General features: G+C 36.5%; 1 long non-coding RNA gene across 1 annotated transcript in view, besides 1 other annotated feature; it reads left to right on the top strand.

The window, feature by feature from the left end:
* LOC105379168 (uncharacterized) overlaps positions 1–18,258 on the top strand; it is a 273,909-nt gene extending 255,651 nt beyond the window's left edge. The window contains exon 7 of the long non-coding RNA XR_001742460.1: positions 17,279–18,258. This is a non-coding gene — a long non-coding RNA (uncharacterized LOC105379168). The remainder of the gene's footprint in view (positions 1–17,278) is intronic.
* Positions 8,506–8,706: a silencer, noted in NCBI's record as "peak5459 fragment used in MPRA reporter construct". NCBI's record gives its function as "represses an SCP1 promoter by STARR-seq MPRAs in K562 erythroleukemia cells {active_cell/tissue: K562}" and the evidence as "EXISTENCE:reporter gene assay evidence [ECO:0000049][PMID:32103011]".
* Positions 18,259–25,616: the final 7,358 nt, after the last annotated feature.

Genomic DNA, 25,616 nt, shown 5'->3' on the forward strand with positions numbered 1-25,616 from the left:
TCTCAATGTCCTTTTACGCTATGATTCTCTTATTCATGAGACTATCCTCTGGGGGAAAATGATGACTGGAACTTGGAGCACTCAGGAATATTTGCCAAACATTGCAGAACATTTCAAGGGGTCAAGATTTATTTAGCTGAAGCCCTAAATGAATATATTGATTATGAATAAGTGTGTGTGTGTGTGTGTGTGTGTGTGTGTGTGTGTGTGTGTTTATGGTTTGGAAAGTGCATTAGGGCTACTGTAACATTTTCACAAACTTGGTGGTTTAAAACCATAGAAATTTATTATCTTACAGTCCTGATGGCCAGAGTCCAAAATCAAGATGCTAGAAGGACCTCACTCCCCACAGAGACTCTAGGGAAGAGTCCTTTTCATGACTTGACTAGTGGGCACATCACTCTAATTTATTGCATCTCACCTTGCTTCTTCTGTGCATCTGTCTTCTCCTCTCTGTGTCTCTAATAAAGACACTTGTCAATGGATTTAGATTCCTCCTAGATAATCCAGGATGATCTCCTCATCTCAAAATCCTTAATTTAATTATGTTGCAAAGACTTGCTTTTCCAAATATAGTAACAGGATTGGGGAATGGGCATATTGTTTTGGTGGTCACCATGCAGCCTACCACAAAGGAAGATATTTCACTTTTATTTTTGCTTTGTTTTCACCTATCTGGCATTATTAGTGTTTTAACTGTATTTTTTAGCTTTGTGTTTATGTCATTATTGCCACAGTAATAATATAGTAATGTTTATTTCACCAAACAATGGTGTACTGGAAAGAAAGGCATTTTAGACAGAATTTGGCCTTGATATGCCATTCATAATCATCTAGAAATGGTACATTCTTCTTGACATTGAATATCAAGAAGTTGAATGGACTACCCAACTAATTGAAGACATAAATATGATTTGGTAAAATTATGATTATTTGGAAAACACTGAAGGAAGTCTGAATTAAGCTTACGGATCTTCTCAGGTAGGGCTCCGGCCGCCTGTCTACATGAAAGCACATTAGCATTGACCTCAGAGGACACAGTGATGTCTCCCAGCTCCAGTGGCATTTGTGTAGATAAAGACAAATATATTTTCCTCTGTGGATCTACTAACCTCAAATAATTTAATTTAACCAAACTAGTTGAGACATTTCTTCCAAGTCTTAAGCTTTTCCAGTGCTAGGCTGACTTGGTGATCACTCTTTCCTTCTGAAAATGTTACATATGACATGACACTAGTGAGTCCAAAATACTAGAAGCTCAGTTTGTGTTGAGGGCTTGATAAAAACAGTAAGATATACTTCTATTTTAAGTATATTCAACTTATATTTAAAATATACTTCATTAGGTTGTTTATAAAATAGAGCCTCAAATATTGTACTGCCTTTTTAAACATGTTTTTGGGGTCTTAAAATTAGATTTACAATGATTCTATTGAACAAAAAATATGAATCTTTCTCAGGATAAATTTTTACTTAGCCCGTGTGTAGCCGGCTATGGTAAACGTAATACTTTGTTTCTTGTACTTACTTTCCTGTGGAGAATTCTGTCCCTTGGTGATAATGGAGGACAATTTAAGGATTGTCTCAGAATATCATAATTTTTGTATGTTTCAAAGTTGCTCTTAAACTTTGAAATGAGGATCTTAGAGATGAGGTCAAATGGCCTTAAGACAGGATGTGTCATTCTTCAACACTATCTCTGTAGCCAATGCAGGAAAACTGACCAAAATCTACTCTTTCACAATTAGCAAGGAGGCATGTTTGCAGCTATTATAATAGAATTAGATATTGCATGTGTGTTGTAAAAAGCCTTTGCTTAGAACAATTGTTCAAACATCTATTTGACTGGCCAAAATGGAAATACAGCATAATTCTATTTTTATGGCCCTCTATTTTAACAAAATGCCAGTTGCATAGCAATGGAACTGTAGTATCCCCCAGTTTCAAATATGCTTAGCATCAGCTGGAAAGAGCTTTTCTCTTTCCACTTCCACTTCACTTGTATTTCCTTCTCAAGGTTGGTTTTTCTAATTTGAGCTCCCTTTTAACAAACAACTAGAAATATTCTCATATCTGGCTCATCCTTCTGCTTTTACCTTTTTCCCTGCTTGTGAGGCGTATTTATTTTCCTATAACTAGTCAGATTTGGGTTCATGGTATAAATAAAAGTGAGTTTTTCTGAACAAAAATGTCAGCTTTTATATTTTCATATACAAGAAGTATTGTGGCAGATGACGCAATAGATGACACCAAATTAAATAATTTTTGTGTATGTGCTATCATGTATAATTTAGAAATTACTTTGGATATGTAGGAATAGTCAGACTTATGGGAAAAAAAATTTTTTTTGAGATCAGTTCTGTGTAGAGCATCATTCTGTCCAATCTGTGTAGAGCATCATCTTGCCTAAATCTATAATTTGGTAGTCAGAGATGAAATAAAGATATCCTAGGTATGGAATCATCATATAGAGCTGTCTCTCAGTATAAGCAGGGGATTGGTTCTAGGACCCCCACACATACCAAAATTCACACATACTCAAGTCCTGCAGCCAGCCCCGTGAAATCCATCTATGGAAAAAAATCACACCCTCTATATAAGGCAGGTTTTGCATCCTGCAAAGAATGCATTTTCATCTGAGCGCATGGTTGAAAAAAATCCAGGTATAAAGTGGACCAGCACAGTTCAAACCCATGTTGTTCAAGTGTCAACTGTCTTACAAATGTTTTATTTAAATGTCTAAAAGTTCTAAAAGCATATGTCAATTTAGCACAGTTTTATGACTCTTAGAAACAAATTCATGAGTCATTCAAATCCATTTAGCAGAGAAAATTGAAGAAATAAGTATTAATTCTTCATATTTTTATGTATTCTCTTAGATTTCTAACTTAAAATGACAAACTTTCAAGGGCAATTGTTTGAGAGTAACAGCCATTTCCCATGACTAATTCGATTACCATTAAATCCATGTTTATTTCCAATGTTCTTAGCTGTGCTATCCACAAACATGTGAATCCATTAGTCATACAATGTGGTCATAAACCAGGAAAGAGACAGTGGAATACAATGAAACAAGCACAGACTTAGGAGTCAGTCTGGATATGGGTCCATATCCAGGCTTGGTAACTTTCTAGTTGTGTAAACTTGGGCAAATTATTGTAATTATTCTGAAAAACACCTAACTAGAATAAATAACATAAAGGTGAGCTGATATTATGTAAATAAAGTTAAAAGAGAAAATGACTCAGTGTCAAAGCCCTGGCATGCTGCCTGGAATTCAATAGATAATGATTTTCATTAGAAGCAGAAAACAGAGAATTTGGATAGAGCAGTTTATTTTCTGTCTGCATCAGAATCTCAACTTGGGCACTATTGATATTTGGGGCAGAATAATTCTTTGTTGTGGGGCACTGTCCTGTGTATTGTAGCATGCTTAGCAACATGCCTGGTCTCTACCCACTAGATGCTAGTAGTGTACCTCCCTCTCAATTACTCTTCCCAAGCCCTGCCACTCTACCACTTGGCACCTTAATTGTGACAATCAAGAATGTGTGCAGGGATTGCCAAATATGCGTCAGGGCAAAATCTCCCTAATTGAGAACCACTGGTCTGCCTGAAGAGTGAGGTCCATTGTCCAGTAGCTCAGGCCCAGCCTTGTGTCTCTGTCCTTCAATTTCACCTTTGGCTAGTTACACAGTTAATGGCAGAACTCCCCCAATGTATAGGGATATGGTCATTGTGTATTTTGGGTACTCATTCTAGATTTTACCAGAGGAAAATTTCTTTATCACCTAAGTTCTTTCTAAATGGGAATAAAATATCAGGAACACGAGACATGAAATGAGATGTATTACTTAATTAATTTGTGCTCAGTAAATTCCATGTGAATTTGCAAAGAAGTAAGTAACCATTTTAGGCAAATAATTCGTACATAGCAATTACTCTTGTTTAATTCAGAATGCCTCAAGACATTCAATTTTTAAAATTCAAGGAAAAGCAAAAAAAGTCAAATGTGTATTTCAGGGTAGCAAAACTCTTCCGTGTACATTAATAATCCATTTCTTAAGTGATCCTAATACACATTGTTTGGAATGATTGAAAAAATTGTTAATATACTCGCTTTTACTTACAAATGATTATTTTCATTTTACTATGTTTGTTTTTGAGGAAAAACCTTAAAAATTACTATAAACAAACTATTAACAGTTTTAAGGAATAAACACTATCAAGCCTGTTTCTGTAAATTATAAAATGAAAACAAGCTTTTAAATGTGCTACTTAGTAATTTAGTGTCAGATATATATACTGGAGCAGATTATATTTATAATTATTTTGTCTTTATAAAAATGGAAAAATGACTTAAAAGTGGGAGGTGGAGGAAAATTTGTGATGTGATCATGAAGAAGGTCAAAATATTCTCAGTTCTATGTATATTTGTAAACCAGTTCAATACAGTACCTGGATTAATTATTTTATTATTTATACTGAGCTTTGACTCCAAATAATTTAAATAAGTCTATATAAAATATAGTAAGATTATTCAAATGTTCATAGAAAAAGTAGAAAGAAAAAATACAACCCCAGAAACATAAAATTAAGTCAGTAAAAGCCTAGTTAAAAATGCATTCATAAAATGTTATTTGTTTTCTACAGCTGGATAAGATATTTTGCAAGAAATGAGCAGAACAAAAATAAAATTAGGAAAACAATTCCATTTATAATAGCACCAAAAAGAACAAAATTCTTACAAATAAATTTTTAAAAGCAATATATAGTTTATACTCTAAAAACTACAGAATATTGTGGAAAGAAATTACAATATACCTAAATAAATGATAAGACTTTTTATGTTAATGGATTGGAAGATAACATTGTTAAGATGACAGTATTCTCCAAATTGAGATACAGATTTAATTCAGTTCCTACCAATGTCCTGGATGACTTCTTTGCCAAAATTGACAATGTGATCCTAAATTTAATTTGGAAATGCAGATGATCTAGAATGGCCCAAACAACCTTGAAAGAGAATGGAGCTGAAAGACTCACACTTCCTGATTTTAAAATTTACTTCAAATCTATAGTAATCAAAACAGTATGGTATTAGTCTAAAAATAGACATATAGATCAATGAAATAGTCCAGAAATAAACCCTCACATTTACAATAAATTAATTTTTAAAAGGGTGTCATGACCATCCAATGGGTAGAGAATAGTGTTTTCAACAAATGGTGCTAGGTCAACTGGATATTCACATTAAAAAATTGAGTTGGATACTTAGCTTACAACACACACACACAAATTAACACAAAATTGATCAGAGACCTAAATATAAGAGCTTAAACTATAAAACTCTTAGAAAACATGTATATCAAACTCTTAAAAACTTAGGTATAAATCTTTGTTATACCTATGGATGTGGGAATGGTTTCTTAGAGATGACACCAAAGATACAAGAAATGAAGAAAAAATAGGTATCATCAAAATCAAACTATTTCATACTCAAATTACACCATCAGGAAAGTGGAAAGAACACCCATAGAATGACAGAAAAAATGTTCAAAGCATGTATCTGAAAAGGGATTTGTATCTAGACTATATAAAGAACAATTACAACTCCATAATTAAGAAGACAAATAATCCAGTTTAAACAAGGGCAAATGTTCCAAATAGACATTTCTTCAAAGAATATATACAAACATCCTTTTGTTTAATGCTGGTATTTATCAGGGAAATGCAAATTGAAATCCATGAGATACCACTTCACACCTCCTAGAATGACTATAGTCAAAGAAACCAAAAATAAAAATTTTTAGGGAGGATTTGGAGAAAGTGGAGCCCTCATACACTGATGGTGGGAATATAAAATTTGAAAAACAGTTAGGAAAAGCCTAGAGCTTCTTCAAAACGTTAAACATAGAGTTACCACATGATCTAGCAATTCTACTCCTAGGTATATACCCAAGAAAAATAAAAACATGTCCACACAAACATTTCTAAGTGATTGTTCATAGCAGCAGCATCTATAATAACCCAAAAGTGGAAACAACTTAAATGTCCATCAACTAATAAAATGTGGTAATATCGATATAATGGCATATTACTCCACAATAAAAAGAAATGAAATACTTCTACATGTTGCAACATTATGAACCTTGAAAACATGCTTAGTGAGAGAAAACAGACATAAAGAACCATATATTATAATAATTTCTTTTGTAAGAAAAGTTATACTATTATGTCCTGTTTTGTTGGGTAGTGGTGAAAAGATTGTGGTCAGAGCTAGAATGTCCCATCTTAGGAGAAACTTCCATAACCACCCATAGAAAGTAGCTACCCAATCCCTCTTTAACATGACTTAATTTTAATATTCTACATAAAACCAATCCAAATTTTATTTTTTTAAAAAGTATTTATGTACTTTATTGTCTTAACACTGAAAAGTAATGTATACAAGCAAAGAATTGCCCTTGTTATTCACAGCTGTATCTTTAGGACCAACAGTGGTGCCAGGCAGAGTTGGCCACCTAATAGGTATTCGTCACTAATAAGACATTTATCATAAAACTATGGGAGATTCAAAGATATAAATATTTAACACAGTGACCATTTCTTGGTACTGGTACTTTTTATTAATGTATTTATTAAAATTGATAAGTAAAAATTGAACTTATTTATGGCATATAAGATGATGTTTTGAAATATGTATACATTGTGGAATGACTAAGTCAAGCAAACATATGCGTTACCACACATACTTATTTCTTTGTGATGAGAACACATAAAATCTCTTCTCTTAGTGATTTTCAAATATACAATACATTGTATTAACTGTAGTCATCGTATTGTATTATAGGTACTGGTACTTTGAGTGCCCTATCTTGTGTAATCCTTAGCTCAGCCCTGGGAGGTCAGTAGTATTCTTTCCATTTTTAGAGAAATTAATAGTTCACTTCAGATCACACAGTCTGTACCAGGGCAAGATTCCAGTTAGATGCCATGCTTTAATGATTACACTGTACTATAGCCAGTGCTGAAGCAAGTACTATTGGGATTTAGGAGTGTCAGGGGATGCTTCGAGACAGAGGGATATTTTTAACTAGGTTTTGAATAAGAGGGAGACTTTTGTTCAGGTGGTGGGATGGCATACCATCCAAAGTGTGGGAGGAGGATAGCACAGAGCTTATAGAAAGCAATGAGTGGTTCAATTTGGCAGGAGTCTAAGATGAGCTACATTTGAGAAGAGGTTTTGAGAATGAGGTGAATATTATGATTAATTTGCTCCATTTTGCAGAAATGACTGGACCAATGTTGATGTTTCTTCTTATAAAGGCACTAGTCCCATTTGTGAGGGCTCCACCCCAATTACTTAATTATTTGCCAAAGACCTCACCTCCAAATATCATCACACTGGAGACTAAGCTTCAACCTAGGAATTTGGGGACACATCCTTTATCTCGGTTTCATCTCTCCCACCACATGTCCACTTTAGATCCCTTCTAGATTACAGCAAAAGCCCTGATATTCACCAACCATGCCCATACTTTTCTGTTTCTGTGCCAGGTCTCTTAATACCACTTTTGCCTGGAGCTCCTAGCTTCAGCCATATTGCCTTCTATCAACATTCTGTCTTTCCTGGCTCCTTTGAAACACCATTGGTTAAAGATCTTTCTGAATGCATCTCCCAATAATCAGATGTGCTACTAAATAAGATATGGTGTCTTCTTCATAATTATCAAGGAATCCAATATTTCTAGGTTTTTTTAAAATCAGTTTCTGAGAAAAGCTTCTCCATTATTCTTGTGGTATGCTCTCTTGTTTACATTTTGGTTTTTCTATTTCAGATAATACTGGGGATTTGCTCATGTAGTTCATCTGTATCTATATACTTGTTAAACTCTGCATAGAAACTTTCTGAAGGAAATAATAATGATAATTATTATAGCTAATCATTCCCATTTTCTATGTTATTCAAACATGCCTGTATGATGTACTAAAATTATCTCTATTACTTAGTACTGTACTTATGACAAAGTAGGAGCTCAAATAATTCTAATTTGCTGAAAACTCTACAGTCTAACTGATATGTTGGAAATAATCTACATGTTATGTCTTCATAGGAACTTCATTTATGATCATTCCTTTCTTTCCCTAAATGGTACCTAAAAAAAGATTCCATTTCACTTTTATTGAGCATCTACTCAGTGTAAGACTATTCTTTTTAATGCATGGAATGCAAGAACTGTGATAGTAACTGGCTTCATAGATCTTAGCATCAACTGTAAGGATAAGGCAAGAGTATTTACAGGTAATTGTAGGTAATAAAAACTGCAATTAGAAGCACACAAAATATTCTGTAGAATTCAAAGAAAGGAGAGATCATATCACATTAGAAGTTAAAAGAAAGATTTCATGGAATAGTTGACATATCATTCAGGCAGTGTGGCAGAAACTTCTAGTTGCCCACCTGAATATCCATTTACCCTTTCCTTTTTAGGAACAGAATTCTGATTTTTAGCTGAGCTCATTGATGCGTGAATAGAAAGACTGCATTTCACAGGCTCCCTTAAAGCTGAGTGCAATCATGTGACTAAGCACTGGCCAAAGAAATGTCAACGGAAGTGTTATGTGTGATTTCTGTCAATGTCACTTAGAAGTAGCTGACTTGCAGAGAGAAAGGAGATAAATCTTTTTTTTTTTTTTTTCATCACTATTCTGCCTTTTGTCTGTCTTTTGGCCCACACCCTCAGATATAATGGCTGGAGTTTCACAGACTATCCTGGGTCATGAGGTGACTCGAAGACGGAAAACTTGCCCTAGTCTGATAGAGCAGAAAGACAGAAATTGTGTTCTTATGAAAACATGGAATGAACTTTCTACCTCCAGACTTATTTTACACAATAATGAAATAAACTTCTAACTTATGTAAGCCCCTATTATTCAGAGATATTCTGGTCCATCCCACTAAAACAGATTCTAATCTACAGCCCTGGAGGCTTTCACTAAAGGCAGGCGGAGCAAAGTAAATGGCACACTGTTAGGAAATTTTATAATTTTACCTTTATTCTCATTTTGGTCATTCCTATAAAACCTCTGGCAATATTCCTTGTGGTCCTCTTTCCTTCCACTAACACTTAACCGTCACAACAGGCAGTCTTACTCAGTAATCAAAGATGTGGACTCTCGAGTCAAGACTCTATAGGTTAAGATCCCAGCTTGGCCTCTCATGAGCTGTGTACTTTGAGCAATGATTTAACCTTTCTCATTTCCTCAACTGCAAAATTTATACAGCAGTAAGATCCAGCTCACAGGGTTTTTGTGAAGATTAAATTAGTAAAGGATGTACAGTAAGACCATAGAACAGTAACAGGCTCACAGTAAGTGCTCAGTAAATGTTAGAGAGAAATGTGACTATCAATTCAAGAATGGCTTGTTGAATGTCAGTTATGTGTTAAGCTTTATATTCAGCTTGGGTACAAGGGAGTAAATAAATCACATTCCTTAGCAGTTCACAGTATAGTTCTCTGTGAGAAAAATATATATCTATATTTTGGGGGATGATTTTCTTCTAGCTCCATGTCCTGTTAACCACACCAAGCCAGTCTGAATTATAAAACAGTGTTTTTGTTTTGTTTTGTTTTGTTTTTGAGACAGAGTTTTGCTCTGTCACCTAGGCTGAAGTGCAGTGGTGCAATCTTGGCTCACTGCAGTCTCAACCTCCTGGGTTCAAGCAATTCTCATGCCTCAGCCTCCCAAGAAGCTGGGATTATAGGCACCCGCCACCACACCCGGCTAATTTTTGTATTTTTAGAAGAGACAGGGTTTTACCATGTTGCCCAGACTGGTCTCAAACTCCTGAGGTCAAGCAATCCACCCGCCCTGGCCTCTCAAAGTGCTGAGATTACAGGTGTGAGCCACCACACCCAGCCAACAATGTTTAATCATTGGATAAATTATACAATTCAATGCATTCTCCCCTGGCAAGAAGAAATGCCCTGGCATGGTACACAGGAAGATCAAAATGATAATATCATGAGATCTACCCCCACAAAAAATATTTGAGAGACTTCCTTTCAAAAACTTCAAATTAATTATAACTCAGTTTAGGGAGACCTGAAAATGAGTAATGACAAAGTACGGCAACATCAAAAATATCTTATATTACTATAATTTGTGCAAATGCCAAATTAAATGTTATAAGCTATCTGAAAAGAATTTTTGCGCTATGAGAAAGATGACAAAGCAATTTCCACATGGCTTCTACTGCCTGTTCATATGTTTATACTAAAAGATACTTCCTCTATTGTCCACATGGCTTTTACCAACCCCCACTTCCACTTAGAACTATTAGAGGAAGTTGCCAAATTATTATGAGTCAGTTGTTTAGAAATTGAACATTATTATACAGGTAGCCTACCTAACTCACAGTGTGCCTAAATATGGCAATAATAACACTGACTCCAACATTGTACTCTAAGCTCTCTCAGAGGAAAATTCATAGCAGATTCTTACTTGAGATGACAAATTACGTCTCACGGCTGTAATCTCTTCCAACACACTCTCTTCAGTCACTGGGAATAATTACTGGGATATGGACAAAGAGTTCCATCCATCTGGGGTTTGGGTAAAGGACAATAGGAAGAGAAAAAAGGAGTCCCCAGGGGCTCTTGGTTCTGCATCAGCTTCTAATTGCATTTCTTACAGGGCCAGGAGATTGGTCCACATATTTCTAGTTCTACTATCCTGGCCTGTTCTTCTGGCTATGGGTTGTCTCCTCTCCCAGGCCACTGCCCTGTGAAACTACAGTTCTTCTCTAGTCTCCAGTTCCTGAATCAAGTATACAGTCCTTTGGAGCAGTGGTTTTCAACTATTTTTTTTTACATGATCTGCAGCAATAAAAGCATTTGACACCATAATTAAATAAATATGTACCTCTACATAGACATAAGTGAAAGAAAAGTTTTACAGGGCAAAACTCATCCTACTATGTGATATGCACACTCTATTCCATTCTATTAAAAAATGTTTGTTATCATGGCTTACTAAGTCAATTTTATGACTGTTTTATAGATTATACCTCACAGTTTGAAGAACTGTGCTTTAAACATTAAAAAAAACTTTAAAAAAAAGTCTAAAAACTAACATAAACAATTTCAAATCATCTCGAAAATGTCACACTATACTGGACATTTAGTTTATTTTGACGTTTAGGGCTTTGAAACTCCTCACTATGGAAACTTCTCTACCTCATGAAAACTGGAGAGATAAGGGTATGTTTCCTACTGCAAAATTGCCACTGTCCAGACACACTATTTCTCTGGCCCCTAGAAATAAGGGATGAGCATGTGACCCTTTCAGTTTCTTGGTTTGGAGCAAGAATTCATTCTGGCAGCATAAATTAACATTGGCTGCATGGGTAGTGGTACAACAGAGTACACTGTTCATTGTGGAATGGGCCTGGGTGCCACATGTTGCACCCCGTAGCCAGCAAGAAGGATAACAGTATCTGCATCCACATGGTGTTTGGTGGTGTGGTTTTAGCTGTAATCATTGTGTCCAGCCTCCTTTTATCCTTACCTTGCCCATGTCTGATTCTCCAGCCTTTCTAGTAGTTCCCTTTCTTTTTAAATCTGCCACTGTGTAAGTTGGTTTCTCTGGTTTGCAATGACTTGCAATCTATTTCCCTGAGGTTTAACTCAACATTAGGGATTTTTCCTCTGCTTTATGCAAAAGAACACTATCTCAGAGATTCTTTGCAAAAATATTCATTAGAGGCCTGTGAAGGAAAGGATGGGAACATTGAGAGGTGAAAGTTTGATAGGAGAATTGATAATTCAGCTTGCTGGTGAGAGAGTAAGTAGAGAAAGAATCTATCTTGGGATTTTTTCACCTTCCTTTCTTCAACAGGATCCTCATTATATCCCTTCTACTGTCAAAAATCCTGGTTGGGGTCAGGGTCGGGCAACAAAAGACCAATATTCAGTGAGGGAGAAAAGGGAAGGCAGTCATAAGCAATGAAAGAGAAGGGAGCCCTAGTTGTATCATTGGGGAATAAAACTAATTCATTATGGCCACTCCGTTTCACATGCTGGGGGCCCGTCCTGGGTATGTACAAGAAAAGAAATGTGTATGAAGCAAAAATGTGTCTAATGCCATCTGCAGTCATCTAAAGACCAGTGTAAAGAAGCATGTATTTTTCTGCATAAGTATCATTATTATTATCAAGATTATTTAGTATTTGTTAATAGACTGTGAGATCTAGTTTAATTCTTTCCAGTAACAAGCTAGATGGCCAGTGTAAATTTTCGTAGTTGATTCATCCAGTTGGTGCCTTAATTTCTGCACAACTTCTCATCAATAGGCCATAGCAAGGGGTCCTCAAATGCAAAGAAGTAGGTTTGTTGGGGAAAGTGCCCATTAAATTCCATTGTTTTCCTCTTTAGGATATTATGTTTTGACATTTCAACTGTCCTCATTGCACAAGAGTTTTCAGACTAAATGTTTGGTATATAAATCCAATAAGGATATGTTGAAAACTTTAACTCATACTTAAAATGCCACCAGTTTCCCAAATCTGTACTGGATTAACACCCACATGTAAATGTGATGATTCCTTATAACTGCTTCGAAGTTAAGTGAGCACAACTGTGTTCTTGTAGCAAATAAGCACTTGTGAAATATCGAATGAAACAAGCATGAAATACTAGTCAGTTAACAAAAATGCAAAAAAAAATGTTTTTACTACTGACTAGTAAAAATCAGTCTAAATAATTTCATTTAGACTGATTAATTTACCTTACCCAGTGAGCATGTAGATACAATTAGTAAAAATAGAATATGAATATAAATAGCAGTTTTGATGCTTAGAAAAATTTGAAAACGTGATATTTGCCAGCATTAAGCTCATGAATTTTCATTTAAAAATACAATTTTAGAAATTTTTCTTCTCTTTGCTTGCAGTGTGATATTGAGAAATAGATGTAAGGCCCAGATGTTATTCATATAAATTCTTAAGCAGTAGAGATTTTAAACAATATGAGTACATGATTAACAGGTATTGCCTGTGATTTCGGATTTGAACATGATTAAGGCTGGGCTGCCTACATCTGCTGAATTCTGAGATATGAAGGGACAGGATCTTTGGGGCATCATCTAGTTTATCCAATGAAGTATTAATGTGTTGGAAAAAAATATTTCTTGTTCATGGGCCAAACAGAGTCATGTGTCACTTAGCAATGGGGGGTCATTCTGAGAAATGGGTTGTTGGGTGATTTCATCCCTGTGTGAACATCCTAAGAATATGGCTACTAAAGTTAGCTTCCAGAAGGGACAGATAAACTTATTCTCACAAATATTTACATTATCAAGAAGAAAGGGGAAAATACTTATAATTTTTAAAATAAGAAGAGACAGTTTTAATCTTTTATCTAATTGATTTAAAAATTATTGAATTAGCTGGGCATGGTGGCACACAGCCATAGTCCTAGCTACTTGGGAGGCTAAAGTGGGAGGATCGCTTGAGCCCAGGAGTTCAACATTACAGTAAGCTGTGATCACACCACTGCACTCCAGCCTAGGTAACAGAGACACCCTATCTCTAATAATAATAATAATTTGAAGGGTTATCATAGTCAAAACAATGTGAAGATTTTTAATATGTTACTCATTTTTTTATAAATTTCTAAGTGCTACCTTATTTAGGCATGGTAACCTTGAAATATTCACATGTTTAGAGTAAAAAAAAAATGAAAAGTGAAGTGAATTAATTTTTGGAAGAGTCAGAAGTTAACCTTGGGAATGATTTCAGGTGATTAATTACCTGGGTGGCTGTGGCTGACCAGCCTTACTGGCTCTGCTTTTCTTCATCTGTGAGTCCTGAGCTAGATTATGTCACCCTAATGCCTAGAATGAGTAAATATCTTGTATTAAAACAGCACAGAAAGCAAGAATATATCATATTTACTAGAAGCTTATGATGTGCATGCAGTGTTCTTTATCATTTCATTTAATTTCCACCATAATCTTTGGTGGTAGATGGTTAAAATAAAATGCAAATAGACCAAGTTACATTGCTGTACCACACCAAGCCCAGGTGAAACCCACATGAAACTCCTAAGCCTGGCTCACCTTTACTCTTTGATTTAAAAAGTTCATTTCAAATGTCACTTCCTTTAGAAAAATTTATCTGACTTTTCCAAGAAACTCAAGAATTCTTTTCTTTAGCTGCTCAATACACTTTGTTCATTCCTTCATTATATAAACTATCATACGGATAGCGCCATGTCCACCTCCCTTTCTGAAAGAGGGGACTGTGATATTTCACGCTGTATCCCTAGAATCCATTAGTATCTGGTATACAATAGGTACTGAATATATTCGTTAAATAAATGAATGAAATATTTAACACATTTCTACAGAAATAAAAGCCAGTAAGCATACCATCAGTATATATTAAATAAGACTTACCAATCATCCAATACCAACATGTTGGCACTGCTTTTGTGAGGACATTGTAAGCAGAAATTGGATTGAGCTTTGGTATGAGGAGTCTAACATGGTTGAACTTGGCCAGTCCAAACCATACATGTATGAAATTTGATATATTGCTCAGTGGCAGAGAAGTTGTGTCCCTCTCCTTAAGAGTTGCCTAATACAGCAAGACATGGCCAACCTGATTGTGCCTGTGTCCACATCTGCCAAGACCAGCTCGGTCATGGAGACCCTATCCCAGTGGTGCTAGAGGAATTAAAGACACACACACAGAAATATAGAGCATGGAGTGGGAAATCAGGGGTCTCACAGCCTTCAGAGCTGAGAGCCTCGAACAGAGATTTACCCACATATTTGTTGACAGCAAGCCAGTCATAACATTTACTAAAAGTATTCCTTATGGGAAATAAAGAGATGGGCTGAAATAAAGGGATGGGCTCTGACTAGTTATCTGCAGCATGAATGTGTCCTTAAGGCACAGATCACTGATGCTATTGTTTGTGTTTTAAGAATGGCTTAAGTGGTTTTCTGCCCTGGGTGGGCCAGGTGTTCCTTGCCCTCATTCCGGTAAACTGACAACTTTCCAGCGTGGGCATCAAGGTCATCACGAGCATGTCACAGTGCTGCAGAGATTTTGTTTATGGCCAGTTTTGGGGCCGGTTTATGGCCAGATTTGGGGGCCTGTTCCCAACACACATCCTGATAGATGTGGACTTCTTCCTCATAGAGGATAAGGACTGGAGCTGGGCATGGTGGCTCATGCCTATAATCCCAACACTTTGGGAGGCCAAGGTGGGAGGATCACTTGAGCTTAGAAGTTTGACCAGCTTTGGCAACATAGTGAGACCCTGTCTTGAAAAAATAATAAAAGAAAAAAGAAAAAAAGACTTATTTGGAAATATCTTCACTTGCTTAGCAAAATGGTCTACCAATATCAAATTTCTCTTACTAATGCTCCTAGAATGAAACAGGAATTAAAAGAAATTTAAGAATATGTAAGCAAAAACTCAGTTATATGTAAAAAAAAACCCAATTCCCCCTGAGAAAGAAAAAGAAATGGAGTCCTTTAAAAATTAACTGCCTGTTTTTCCGTGTGTGGCTAGTGAGCCTTATCTCTCCCTTTCCCAGGCATTGTGAAGACCCCGTTTCTCTAGCTGTGCAGCTGCAAGGTCACTAGGCAGATAAACTCAAGTCGTAAAACATGTTTTTCCTTGAAAATTAAGAAATAATGTAATACATGTCTCAATTGAATAACTGTCTTTGTTTCTCGCTTCTGTAACATGCTTCCCCCTGCACAGATCTCCCCCCACCCCACAAAATGCTTAAAAGGTAATCTGACCCTTTGTTTGGGGCTCAGTCCTTTGGATGTTAATTCAACCGGGTTGGTGCCCCTAAATAATAATATATATCCTCCTCAAACCCTCGGTCTCTCTGATTCCTAAATTATCCCACTGCATTTCTGCAAGAAGTTATCCTCTCTTCCTCTCTATCCTCTTCAAGAAGAGTCACTGGGCGCAGTGGCTCACGCCTGTTATCCCAGCACTTTGGGAGGCAGAGGTGGGTGGATCACCTGAGGTCAGGAGTTTGAGACTAGCCTGGGCAACATGGTAAAATCCCGTCTCTACTAAAAATACAAAAATTAGCTGGGCATGGTGGCACATGCCTGTAATTCCAGCTACTTGGGAGGCTGAGGCATGAAAATCGCTTGCACCCAAGAGGTGGAGTTTGCAGTGAGCCAAAATCATGCCAGTGAACTCCAGCTTGGACAACAGAGTGAGACTCTGTCTCAAAAAAAACAAAACAAAACAAAAAAAAAACGCGTAGATCTTTTCCCAATATAGGATGAAATGCATCTGAGTGAAACAAACAATATTGCTACTCCAGCTAAGGTTGCTCTTGGTCACAGAATTACCATTAGAGTTGATAAAATATGTTCAATTAAATTACTTTATCATGATGACATATTTGCAAATAAGAACATTCATATTTAGATAGGAAGTTAAACAATATATAGTAAACAAAAACAAATTACTTAATGACATAGTATTTCATGTTACTTAATATATTTATAACTATCTAGGAAGGAGAAAGGAAAAAAAGGGTAATATAATGACAAACCTATGGATTCCATATATAATAAATAGACTCATATATAATAAATAGATTTAAACACTATGAAAAAGCTAATGGGCTTTTATCTTCATTAATACATTTCTGATTTTTCACAAGCACTTTACATTTTACAAAGTCTATTCTTATACATTAACTCCTTAAATCTTCACAACTTCCTCCTGTGGGAGTTTTATATTTTATTTGCCAGAAAAGAGCATAGAGGTTCAGTGAGGTTAGGTTTCTACTTTGTATATAACTGTCTCTCCATTAAATAATGGAGGCAGCATAGATGATACAGCATCATTAAGATAAAAATATATTTACATATATGTAGAAGAATTTTCATGAAATGATATTTCAAAAAAGTGACAGTAAGAAAAATAAATTTTACCATATATGCTAAATAATTATATTGCAAAATGGAGCAGAACTATAGGTAGTTATGAAAATAATCTTGCTATATTACACTCAATAATAAGATTTTCACTGCATAATTTCCTAGCATAGCTTTTTGTTAGATTTCCTATTCACACAAAGCTGAATTTCTAATTGCAGTATTCTCTTTATTCTGGAAGAAAAGAATACTGAATATCTTTTGTAATTTTACTATAATGTATAATGCAAGTGCTAATCTTTCTGTAGACCAAGAATTAATTCGCTAATCATTTTTGTGTTTCAGGACTTTGCTGGAGAACACAAAGGATGTTGGATACTTCTTGAAAGCAGTAAAAACAATTTTGACAGAAAGATAAGAATAGTCTAATTTATAGTGATAAGGAAATCCTGGGCATGAAGTCTACTGCTGCTGGTAAAGTTGGACTAACAGAGTTCAATTAAATCTCATGCCTGAAGTAACTTAAAAACTGGAAAAAATTTTAAGAAAAAAATGGGTTTTAGGCATTGGAAATATAGCAATAAAGAACAGTAATCCCAGAAAGATAGGAAAAAAATGAGGTGACCCTCCAGCAGCCCCAGTTTACTGACTGGAGAGAGTTTCAGGAAACAGTACAGGGAGAGAGAACTGGGTAGGATCTGGCAGTTTTGTATGAGATGAGGAGACAGATCTTAGAATCCAGAGAGATCAACAAAACTAGAGGTTGCAAGGCATAGTATCAGAAGAGAGAGCCATCCAGAGAAATCTCTACATCTGTAGAGAGTGCTATTTGAATCTTCAGCTGAGTTCAGATCAGTGCATTCATGTGAGCGTAAGTAGCCAAAGGTGGAGGAAGAGCCAACCAAAAGGATAAGATGGAACACACAGGGTGAGAAATGTTTTTTATTCTAACCATGCAGAGTGGAAGACCCCATCATTCACAGAACACTGGGTAGAAAAGTCAGAAAGATTTTACCTCAGTATTAGGGCTAAATTAGCCCTACACTAATCATCACTCTTTTTCTTCCCAGTGAAGCTTAAACATAGATCTCAAAGGTATCAAACTGTATCCATGTTTCTTAATTGCATCACAAAAATAGGTCAATATTTATTTAAAGGAATACAAATATAGCTAACACAAAGTTAAATTGACAATATCTAGCATCCAATCAAAAATTACCAGGTATGTAAAGAAAAAGGAAAATAGGACCCATTTTGAGGAGATAAATCAATCCATTGAAATTGACATGGGACAGGGCATGGTGGCTAACACCTGTAATCCCAACACTTTGGGACACCAAGGCGGGAGGATTGCTTGAGTTCAGGAATTCAAGACCAGCCTGGGCTACGTAGTGTGATCTTGTCTCTGGTAAAAATAAAAATAAAAATAAAATAGAGTGGTGTGGTGGTGTGTGCCTGTAGTCCCAGCTACTCTGGGGGCTGGGGCAGGAGGATTGCTTGAGCCTGGGAGATAGAGGCTGCAATGCTCTATGATCATGCCACTGCACTCCAGCCTGGGTGACAGGGTGAGATTCTGCCTCAAAAAAAGAGAAAGAAATTGACATAGGAATTATATTTGTGATAGAATTAGTAAAGAATGGCTAAACAATGAATGTAATTGATTTCATAGGTTCAAGAAACTACAAGACAGATTGAGCATGTTAAGTAAAAACATGGAAGATGAATGTTATTAATGTTTCTGTTAATATCAGACATAATGGATTTAAGAAGAAAGAATATTATCAGGTCATTTAATAATGATAAAAGTATAAATTATTCAAGGGTACATAATTCTCAATGTTTATGAATCTAATAACAGAGACTTAGAATACATGAAGCAAAAATGGATAGAATTTTTAGGAGAAATAAGTATACGAATGTAGTAAAATATAAATGTCAATAACCCTCTTTCAATAAATTATATAGAACATATTATCATATAATAATACATTTTATAGAGCAATTAGTCAGAATATCAGTAATGCTATAGAAAATTTGTTTGACACTATCAACCCAATTGACCTAATTGACATTTATAGAACAGTCCACCTACCAAGAGAAGAATTTAAGCACCTTTGGAACATTTACAGACCATATTCTGAGTCATAAAACAAGTTTCAATACATTTCAAATGATTCAAATCAAAAGCAGTATGTTCTCTGACTGCAATATAATTAAACTGTACATCAATAAGCAAAATATATCTGGGAAATCCGCAAATATTTAGAAACTAATTACCACCTTTATAAATAACTCATTAATCAAAGAAGACACAAAAAGGAAATCATAAAGTATTTTGAACAAAATAAAATTAAAGGCAAAACATTTCAAAATTTGTGAGATGCACCTAAAGCAGCGCTCAGCAGAAAATCAAAGCATTGGAGTTCCACTTTGGGAAAATAGAAAAAAAGACCAAATTAAATTCAAAATAAGCAAAATAAAGGAAATAAACATCAGAGGGAAATTCAGTAAAACAGAAAGACAGAGTCGATGAAACTAAACGTTTTTGTTTCTTTCTTTTTTTTTTTTTTTTCACTCTGTTGCCCAGACTGTTGCAATGGCAACTATCATGGCTCACTGTAACTTCCAGCTCCTGGGCTCAAGCAATCTCCCTGCTTCAGCCTCCCAAATAGCTGGTACTACAGGTATGCACCACCATGCCTGGCTAATTTTTAAAAACTTTTTGCAGAGACAAGGTCGTGCTATGTTGCCCAGGCTCCAGGTCAAAAAATACTTCCACCTTGGCTTCCCAAAGTGCTGGGATTATAGGTGTGAGCCACTCATCTGGCTTAAAAGTTTTTTTTTTTTTTTTGAGGAGATCAATGCGATGGATAATTTTCTAGACAGATTCATTGGGAAAAGAAATAGAAGAAATAAATTACTAATATCAAAGAGAAGTTATATGAATACAGATTCTGCAGATGTTCAAAAGGCTAATAGGTGTATTATTTTCCTATTGCCATCGTAACAGATTACTACATTATCACTCACTTGGTGGTCGAACACAACACAAATTTATTATCTTATAGTTCTGGGGGCCAGAGGTCAGGAATAGGTTTCCCTTGGCTAAATTTTTTTAAATACTTTAAGTTCTAGGGTACATGTGCACAATGCTATAGAAAATTTGTTGGACACTATCAACGTGCAGGTTTGCACTAACAACATGCAGTTTTGTTATATAGGTGTACATGTGCCATGTTGGTTTGCTGCACCCATTAATTCATCATTTACATTAGGTATTTCTCCTAATGCTATCCACCCCAAGACAGGATCTCGTGTGTGATGTTCCCCACCCTATGTCCAAGTGTTCTCATTGTTCAATTCCCACCTATGTGAGAGAACATGCAGTGTTTGGTTTTCTGTCCTTGTGATACTTTGCTCAGAATGATGGTTTCCAGCTTCATCCATGTCCCTGCAAAGGACATGAACTCACTGTTTTTTATGGCTGCATAGTATTCCATAGTGTATATGTCCCACATTTTCTTAATCCAGTCTATCATTGATGGACATTTGAGTTGGTTCCAAGTTTTTGCTATTGTGAATAGTGCCACAATAAACATACAAGTGCATGTGTCTTTATAGTAGCATGATTTAGAATCCTTTGGGTATATACCCAGTAATGGGATGGCTGGGTCAAATGGTATTTCTAGTTCTAGATCCTTGAGGAATCACCACACTGTCTTCCACAATGGTTGAACTAGTTTACAGTCCCACCAACAGTGTAAAAGTGTTCCTATTTCTCCACATCCTCTCCCGCACCTGTTGTTTCCTGACTTTTTAATGATCGCCATTCTAACTGGTGTGAGATGATATCTCATTGTGGTTTTGATTTGCATTTCTCTGATGGCCAGTGATGATGAGCATTTTTTCATATGTTTTTTGGCTGCATAAATGTTTTCTTTTGAGAAGTGTCTGTTCATATCCTTTGCCCACTTTTTGATGGGGTTGTTTGTTTTTTTCTTGTAAATTTGTTTGAGTTCGTTGTAGATTCTTGATATTAGCCCTTTGTCAGATGGGTAGATTGCAAAAATTTTCTCCAATTCTGTAGGTTGCCTGTTCACTCTGATGGTAGTTTCTTTTGATGTGCAGAAGCTCTTTAGTTTAATTAGATCCCATTTGTCAATTTTGGCTTTTGTTGCCATTGCTTTTGGTGTTTTAGACATGAAGTCCTTGCCCATGCCTATGTCCTGAATGGTATTGCCTAGGTTTTCTTCTAGGGTTTTTATGGTTTTAGGTCTAACATGTAAGTCTTTAATCCATCTTGAATTAATTTTTGTATAAGGTGTAAGGAAGGGATCCAGTTTCAGCTTTCTACATATGGCTAGCCAGTTTTCCCAGCACCATTTATTAAATAGGGAATCCTTTCCCCGTCGCTTGTTTTTGTTAGGTTTGTCAAAGATCAGATAGTTGTAGATATGCAGCTTTATTTCTGAGGGCTCAGTTCTGTTCCATTGGTCTATATCTCTGTTTTGGTACCAGTACCATGCTGTTTTGGTACCAGTACCATGCTGTTTTGGTTACTGTACCCTTGTAGTATAGTTTGAAGTCAGGTAGCGTGATGCCACCAGCTTTGTTCTTTTGGCTTAGGATTGACTTGGCAATGCGGGCTCTTTTTTCGTACCATATGAACTTGAAAGTAGTTTTTTCCAATTCTGTGAAGAAAGTCATTGGTAGCTTGATGGGGATGGCATTGAATCTATAAATTACCTTGGGCAGTATGGCCATTTTCATGATATTAATTCTTCCTACCCATGAGCTAGGAATGTTCTTCCATTTGTTTGTATCCTCTTTTATTTCATTGAGCAGTGGTTTGTAGTTCTCCTTGAAGAGGTCCTTCACATCCCTTGTAAGGTGGATTCCTAGGTATTTTATTCTCTTTGAAGCAATTGTGAATGGGAGTTCACTCATGATTTGGCTCTCTGTTTGTCTGTTTTTGGTGTATAAGAATGCTTGTGATTTTTGCACATTGATTTTGTATCCTGAGACTTTGCTGAAGTTGCTTATCAGCTTAAGGAGATTTTGGGCTGAGACGATGGGGTCTTCTAGATATACAATCATGTCGTCTGCAAACAGGGACAATTTGACTTCCTCTTTTCCTAATTGAATGCCCTTTATTTCCTTCTCCTGCCTGATTGCCCTGGCCAGAACTTCCAATGGTATGTTGAATAGGAGTGGTGAGAGAAGGCATCCCTGTCTTGTGCCAGCTTTCAAAGGGAATGCTTCCAGTTTTTGTCCATTCAGTATGATACTGGCTCTGGGTTTGTCATAGATAGCTCTTATTATTTCGAGATACTTCCCATCAATACCTAATCTATTGAGATTTTTTAGCATGAAGCGTTGTTGAATTTTGTCAAAGGCCTTTTCTGCATCTATTGAGATAATCATGTGGTTTTTCTCTTTGGTTCTGTTTATATGCTGGATTACGTTTATTGATTTTCGTATGTTGAACCAGCCTTGCATACCAGGGATGAAGCCCACTTGATAATGGTGGATAAGCTTTTTGATGTGTTGCTGGATTCACTTTGCTAGTATTTTACTGAGGATTTTTGCATCAATGTTCATCAAGGATATTGGTCTAAAATTCTCTTTTTTGTTGTGTCTCTGCCAGGCTTTGGTGTCAGGATGATGCTGGCCTCATAAAATGAGTTAGGGAGGATTCCCTGTTTTTGTACTGATTGGAATAGTTTCAGAAGGAATGGTACCAGCTCCTCCTTGTACCTCTGGTAGAATTCAGCTGTGAATCCATCTGGTCCTGGACTTTTTTTGTTGGTAAGCTATTAATTATTGCCTCAATTTCATAGCCTGTTATTGGTCTATTCAGAGATTCAACTTCTTCCTAGTTTAGTCTTAGAAGGGTGTATGTGTCGAGGAGTTTATCCATTTCTTCTAGATTTTCCAGTTTATTTGCATAGAGGTGTTTATAGTATTCTTTGATGGTAGTTTGTATTTCTGTGGGATCGGTGGTGATATCCCCTTTGTCATTTTTTATTGTGTCTATTTGATTGTTCTCTCTTTTTTTCTTTATTAGTCTTGCTAGCAGTCTATCAATTTTGTTGATCTTTTCAAAAAACCAGCTCCTAGATTCATTGATTTTTTGAAGGGTTTTTTGTGTCTCTATCTCCTTCAGTTCTGCTCTGATCTTTGTGTTTTCTTGCATTCTGCTAGCTTTTGAATGTGTTTGCTCTTGCTTCTCTAGTTCTTTCAATTGTAATGTTAGGGTGTAAATTTTAGATCTTTCCTGCTTTCTCTTGTGGGCATTTAGTGCTATAAATTTCCCTCTACACACTGCTTTGAATGTGTCCCAGAGATTCTGGTATGTTGTGTCTTTGTTCTCATTGGTTTCAAAGAACATCTTTATTTCTGCCTTCATTTTGTTATGTACCCCGTAGTCATTCAGGAGCAGGTTGTTCAGTTTCCATGTAGTTGAGCAGTTTCGAGTGAGTTTCTTAATCCTGAATTCTAGTTTGATTGCACTGTGGTCTGAGAGACAGTTTGTTATAATTTCTGTTCTTTTACATTTGCTGAGGAGTTCTTTACTTCCAACTATGTGGTCAATTTTGGAATAGGTGTGGTGTGGTGCTGAAAAGAATGTATATTCTGTTGATTTGGGGTGGAGAGTTCTGTAGATGTCTATTAGGTCCGCTTGGTGCAGAGCTGAGTTCAATTCCTGGATATCCTTGTTAACTTTCTGTCTCGTTGATCTGTCTAATGTTGACATTGGGGTGTTAAAGTCTCCCATTATGATTGTGTGGGAGTCTAAGTCTCTTTGTAGGTCACTAAGGACTTGCTTTATGAATCTGGGTGCTCCTGTATTGGGTGCATATATATTTAGGATAGTCAGTTCTTCTTGTTGAATTGATCCCTTTGCCATTATGTAATGGCCTTCTTTGTCTCTTTTGATCTTTGCTGTTTTAAAGTCTGTTTTATCCGAGACTAGGATTGCAACCCCTGCCTTTTTTTGTTTTCCATTTGGTTGGTAGATCTTCCTGCATCCCTTTATTTTGAGCCTATGTGTGTCTCTGCACATGAGATGGGTTTTCTGAATACAGCACACTGATGGGTCTTGACTCTTTATCCAATTTGCCAGTGTGTGTCTTTTAATTGGAGCATTTGGCCCATTTACATTTAAGGTTAATATTGTTTTGTGTGAATTTGATCCTGTCATTATGATGTTAGTTGGTTATTTTGCTCGTTAGTTGATGCAGTTTCTTCCTAGCCTTGATGGTCTTTACAACTTGGCATGTTTTTGCAGTGGCTGGTACCGGTTGCTCCTTTCCATGTTTAGTGCTTCCTTCAGGAGCTCTTTTAGGGCCGGCCTGGTGATGACAAAATTTCTCAGCATTTGCTTGTCTGTAAAGGATTTTATTTGTCCTTCACTTATGAAGCTTAGTTTGGCTGGATGTGAAATTCTGGGTTGAAAATTCTTTTCTTTAAGAATGTTGAATATTGTCCCCCACTCTCTTCTGGCTTGTAGAGTTTCTGCGGAGAGATCAGCTGTTAGTCTGATGGGCTTCCCTTTGTGGGTAACCTGACCTTTCTCTCTGGCTGCCCTTAACATTTTTTCCTTCATTTCAACTTTGGTGAATCTGACAATTATGTGTCTTGGAGTTGCTCTTCTCCAGGAGTATCTTTGTGGCATTCTCTGTATTCCCTGAATTTGAATGTTGACCTGCCTTGCTAGATTGGGGAAGTTCTCCTGGATAATATCCTGAAGAGTGTTTTCCAACTTGGTTCCATTCTCCCCATCACTTTCAGGTACACCAATCAGACGTAGATTTGGTCTTTTCACATAGTCCCATATTTCTTGGAGGCTTTGTTCATTTCTTTTCATTCTTTTTTCTCTAAACTTCTCTTCTCACTTCATTTCATTCATTTCATCTTCCATCGCTGATACCCTTTCTTCCAGTTGATCGCATCGGCTACTGAGGCTTGTGCATTTGTCACGTATTTGTCATGCCATGGTTTTCAGCTCCATCAGGTCCTCTAAGGACTTCTCTGCATTGGTCATTCTAGTTATCCATTCGTCTAATTTTTTTTCAAGGTTTTTATCTTGTTTGCCATTTGTTCGAACTTCCTCCTTTAGTTCGGAGTAGTTTGATCTTCTGAAGCCTTCTTCTCTCAACTCGTCACGGTCATTCTCCGTCCAGCTTTGTTCCATTGCTGGTGAGGAGCTGTGTTCCTTTGGAGGAGGAGAGGCACTCTGATTTTTAGAGTTTCTGGTTTTTCTGCTCTGCTTTTCCCCCCATCTTTGTGGTTTTATCTACCTTTGGTCTTTGATGATGATGGTGACGTAAAGATGGGTTATTGATGTGGATGTCCTTTCTGTTTGTTAGTTTTCCTTCTAACAGTCAGGACCCTCAGCTGCAGATCTGTTGGAGTTTGCTGGAGGTTCACTCCAGACCCTGTTTGCCTGGCTATCAGCAGCAGTGGCTGCAGAACAGCAGATATTGGTGAACTGCAAATGCTGCTGCCTGATGGTTCCTCTGGAAGTTTTGTCTCAGGGGAGTACCCGGTCGTGTGAGGTGTCAGTCTGCCCCTATTGTGGGATGCCTCCCAGTTAGGCTACTTGGGGGTCAGGGACCCACTTGAGGAGGCAGTCTGCCCATTCTCAGATCTCAAGCTGTGTGCTGGGAGAACCACTACT

The sequence above is a fragment of the Homo sapiens genome, chromosome 5 (genome assembly GCF_000001405.40).
Source record: "Homo sapiens chromosome 5, GRCh38.p14 Primary Assembly".
Classification (NCBI taxonomy): domain Eukaryota; kingdom Metazoa; phylum Chordata; class Mammalia; order Primates; family Hominidae; genus Homo; species Homo sapiens.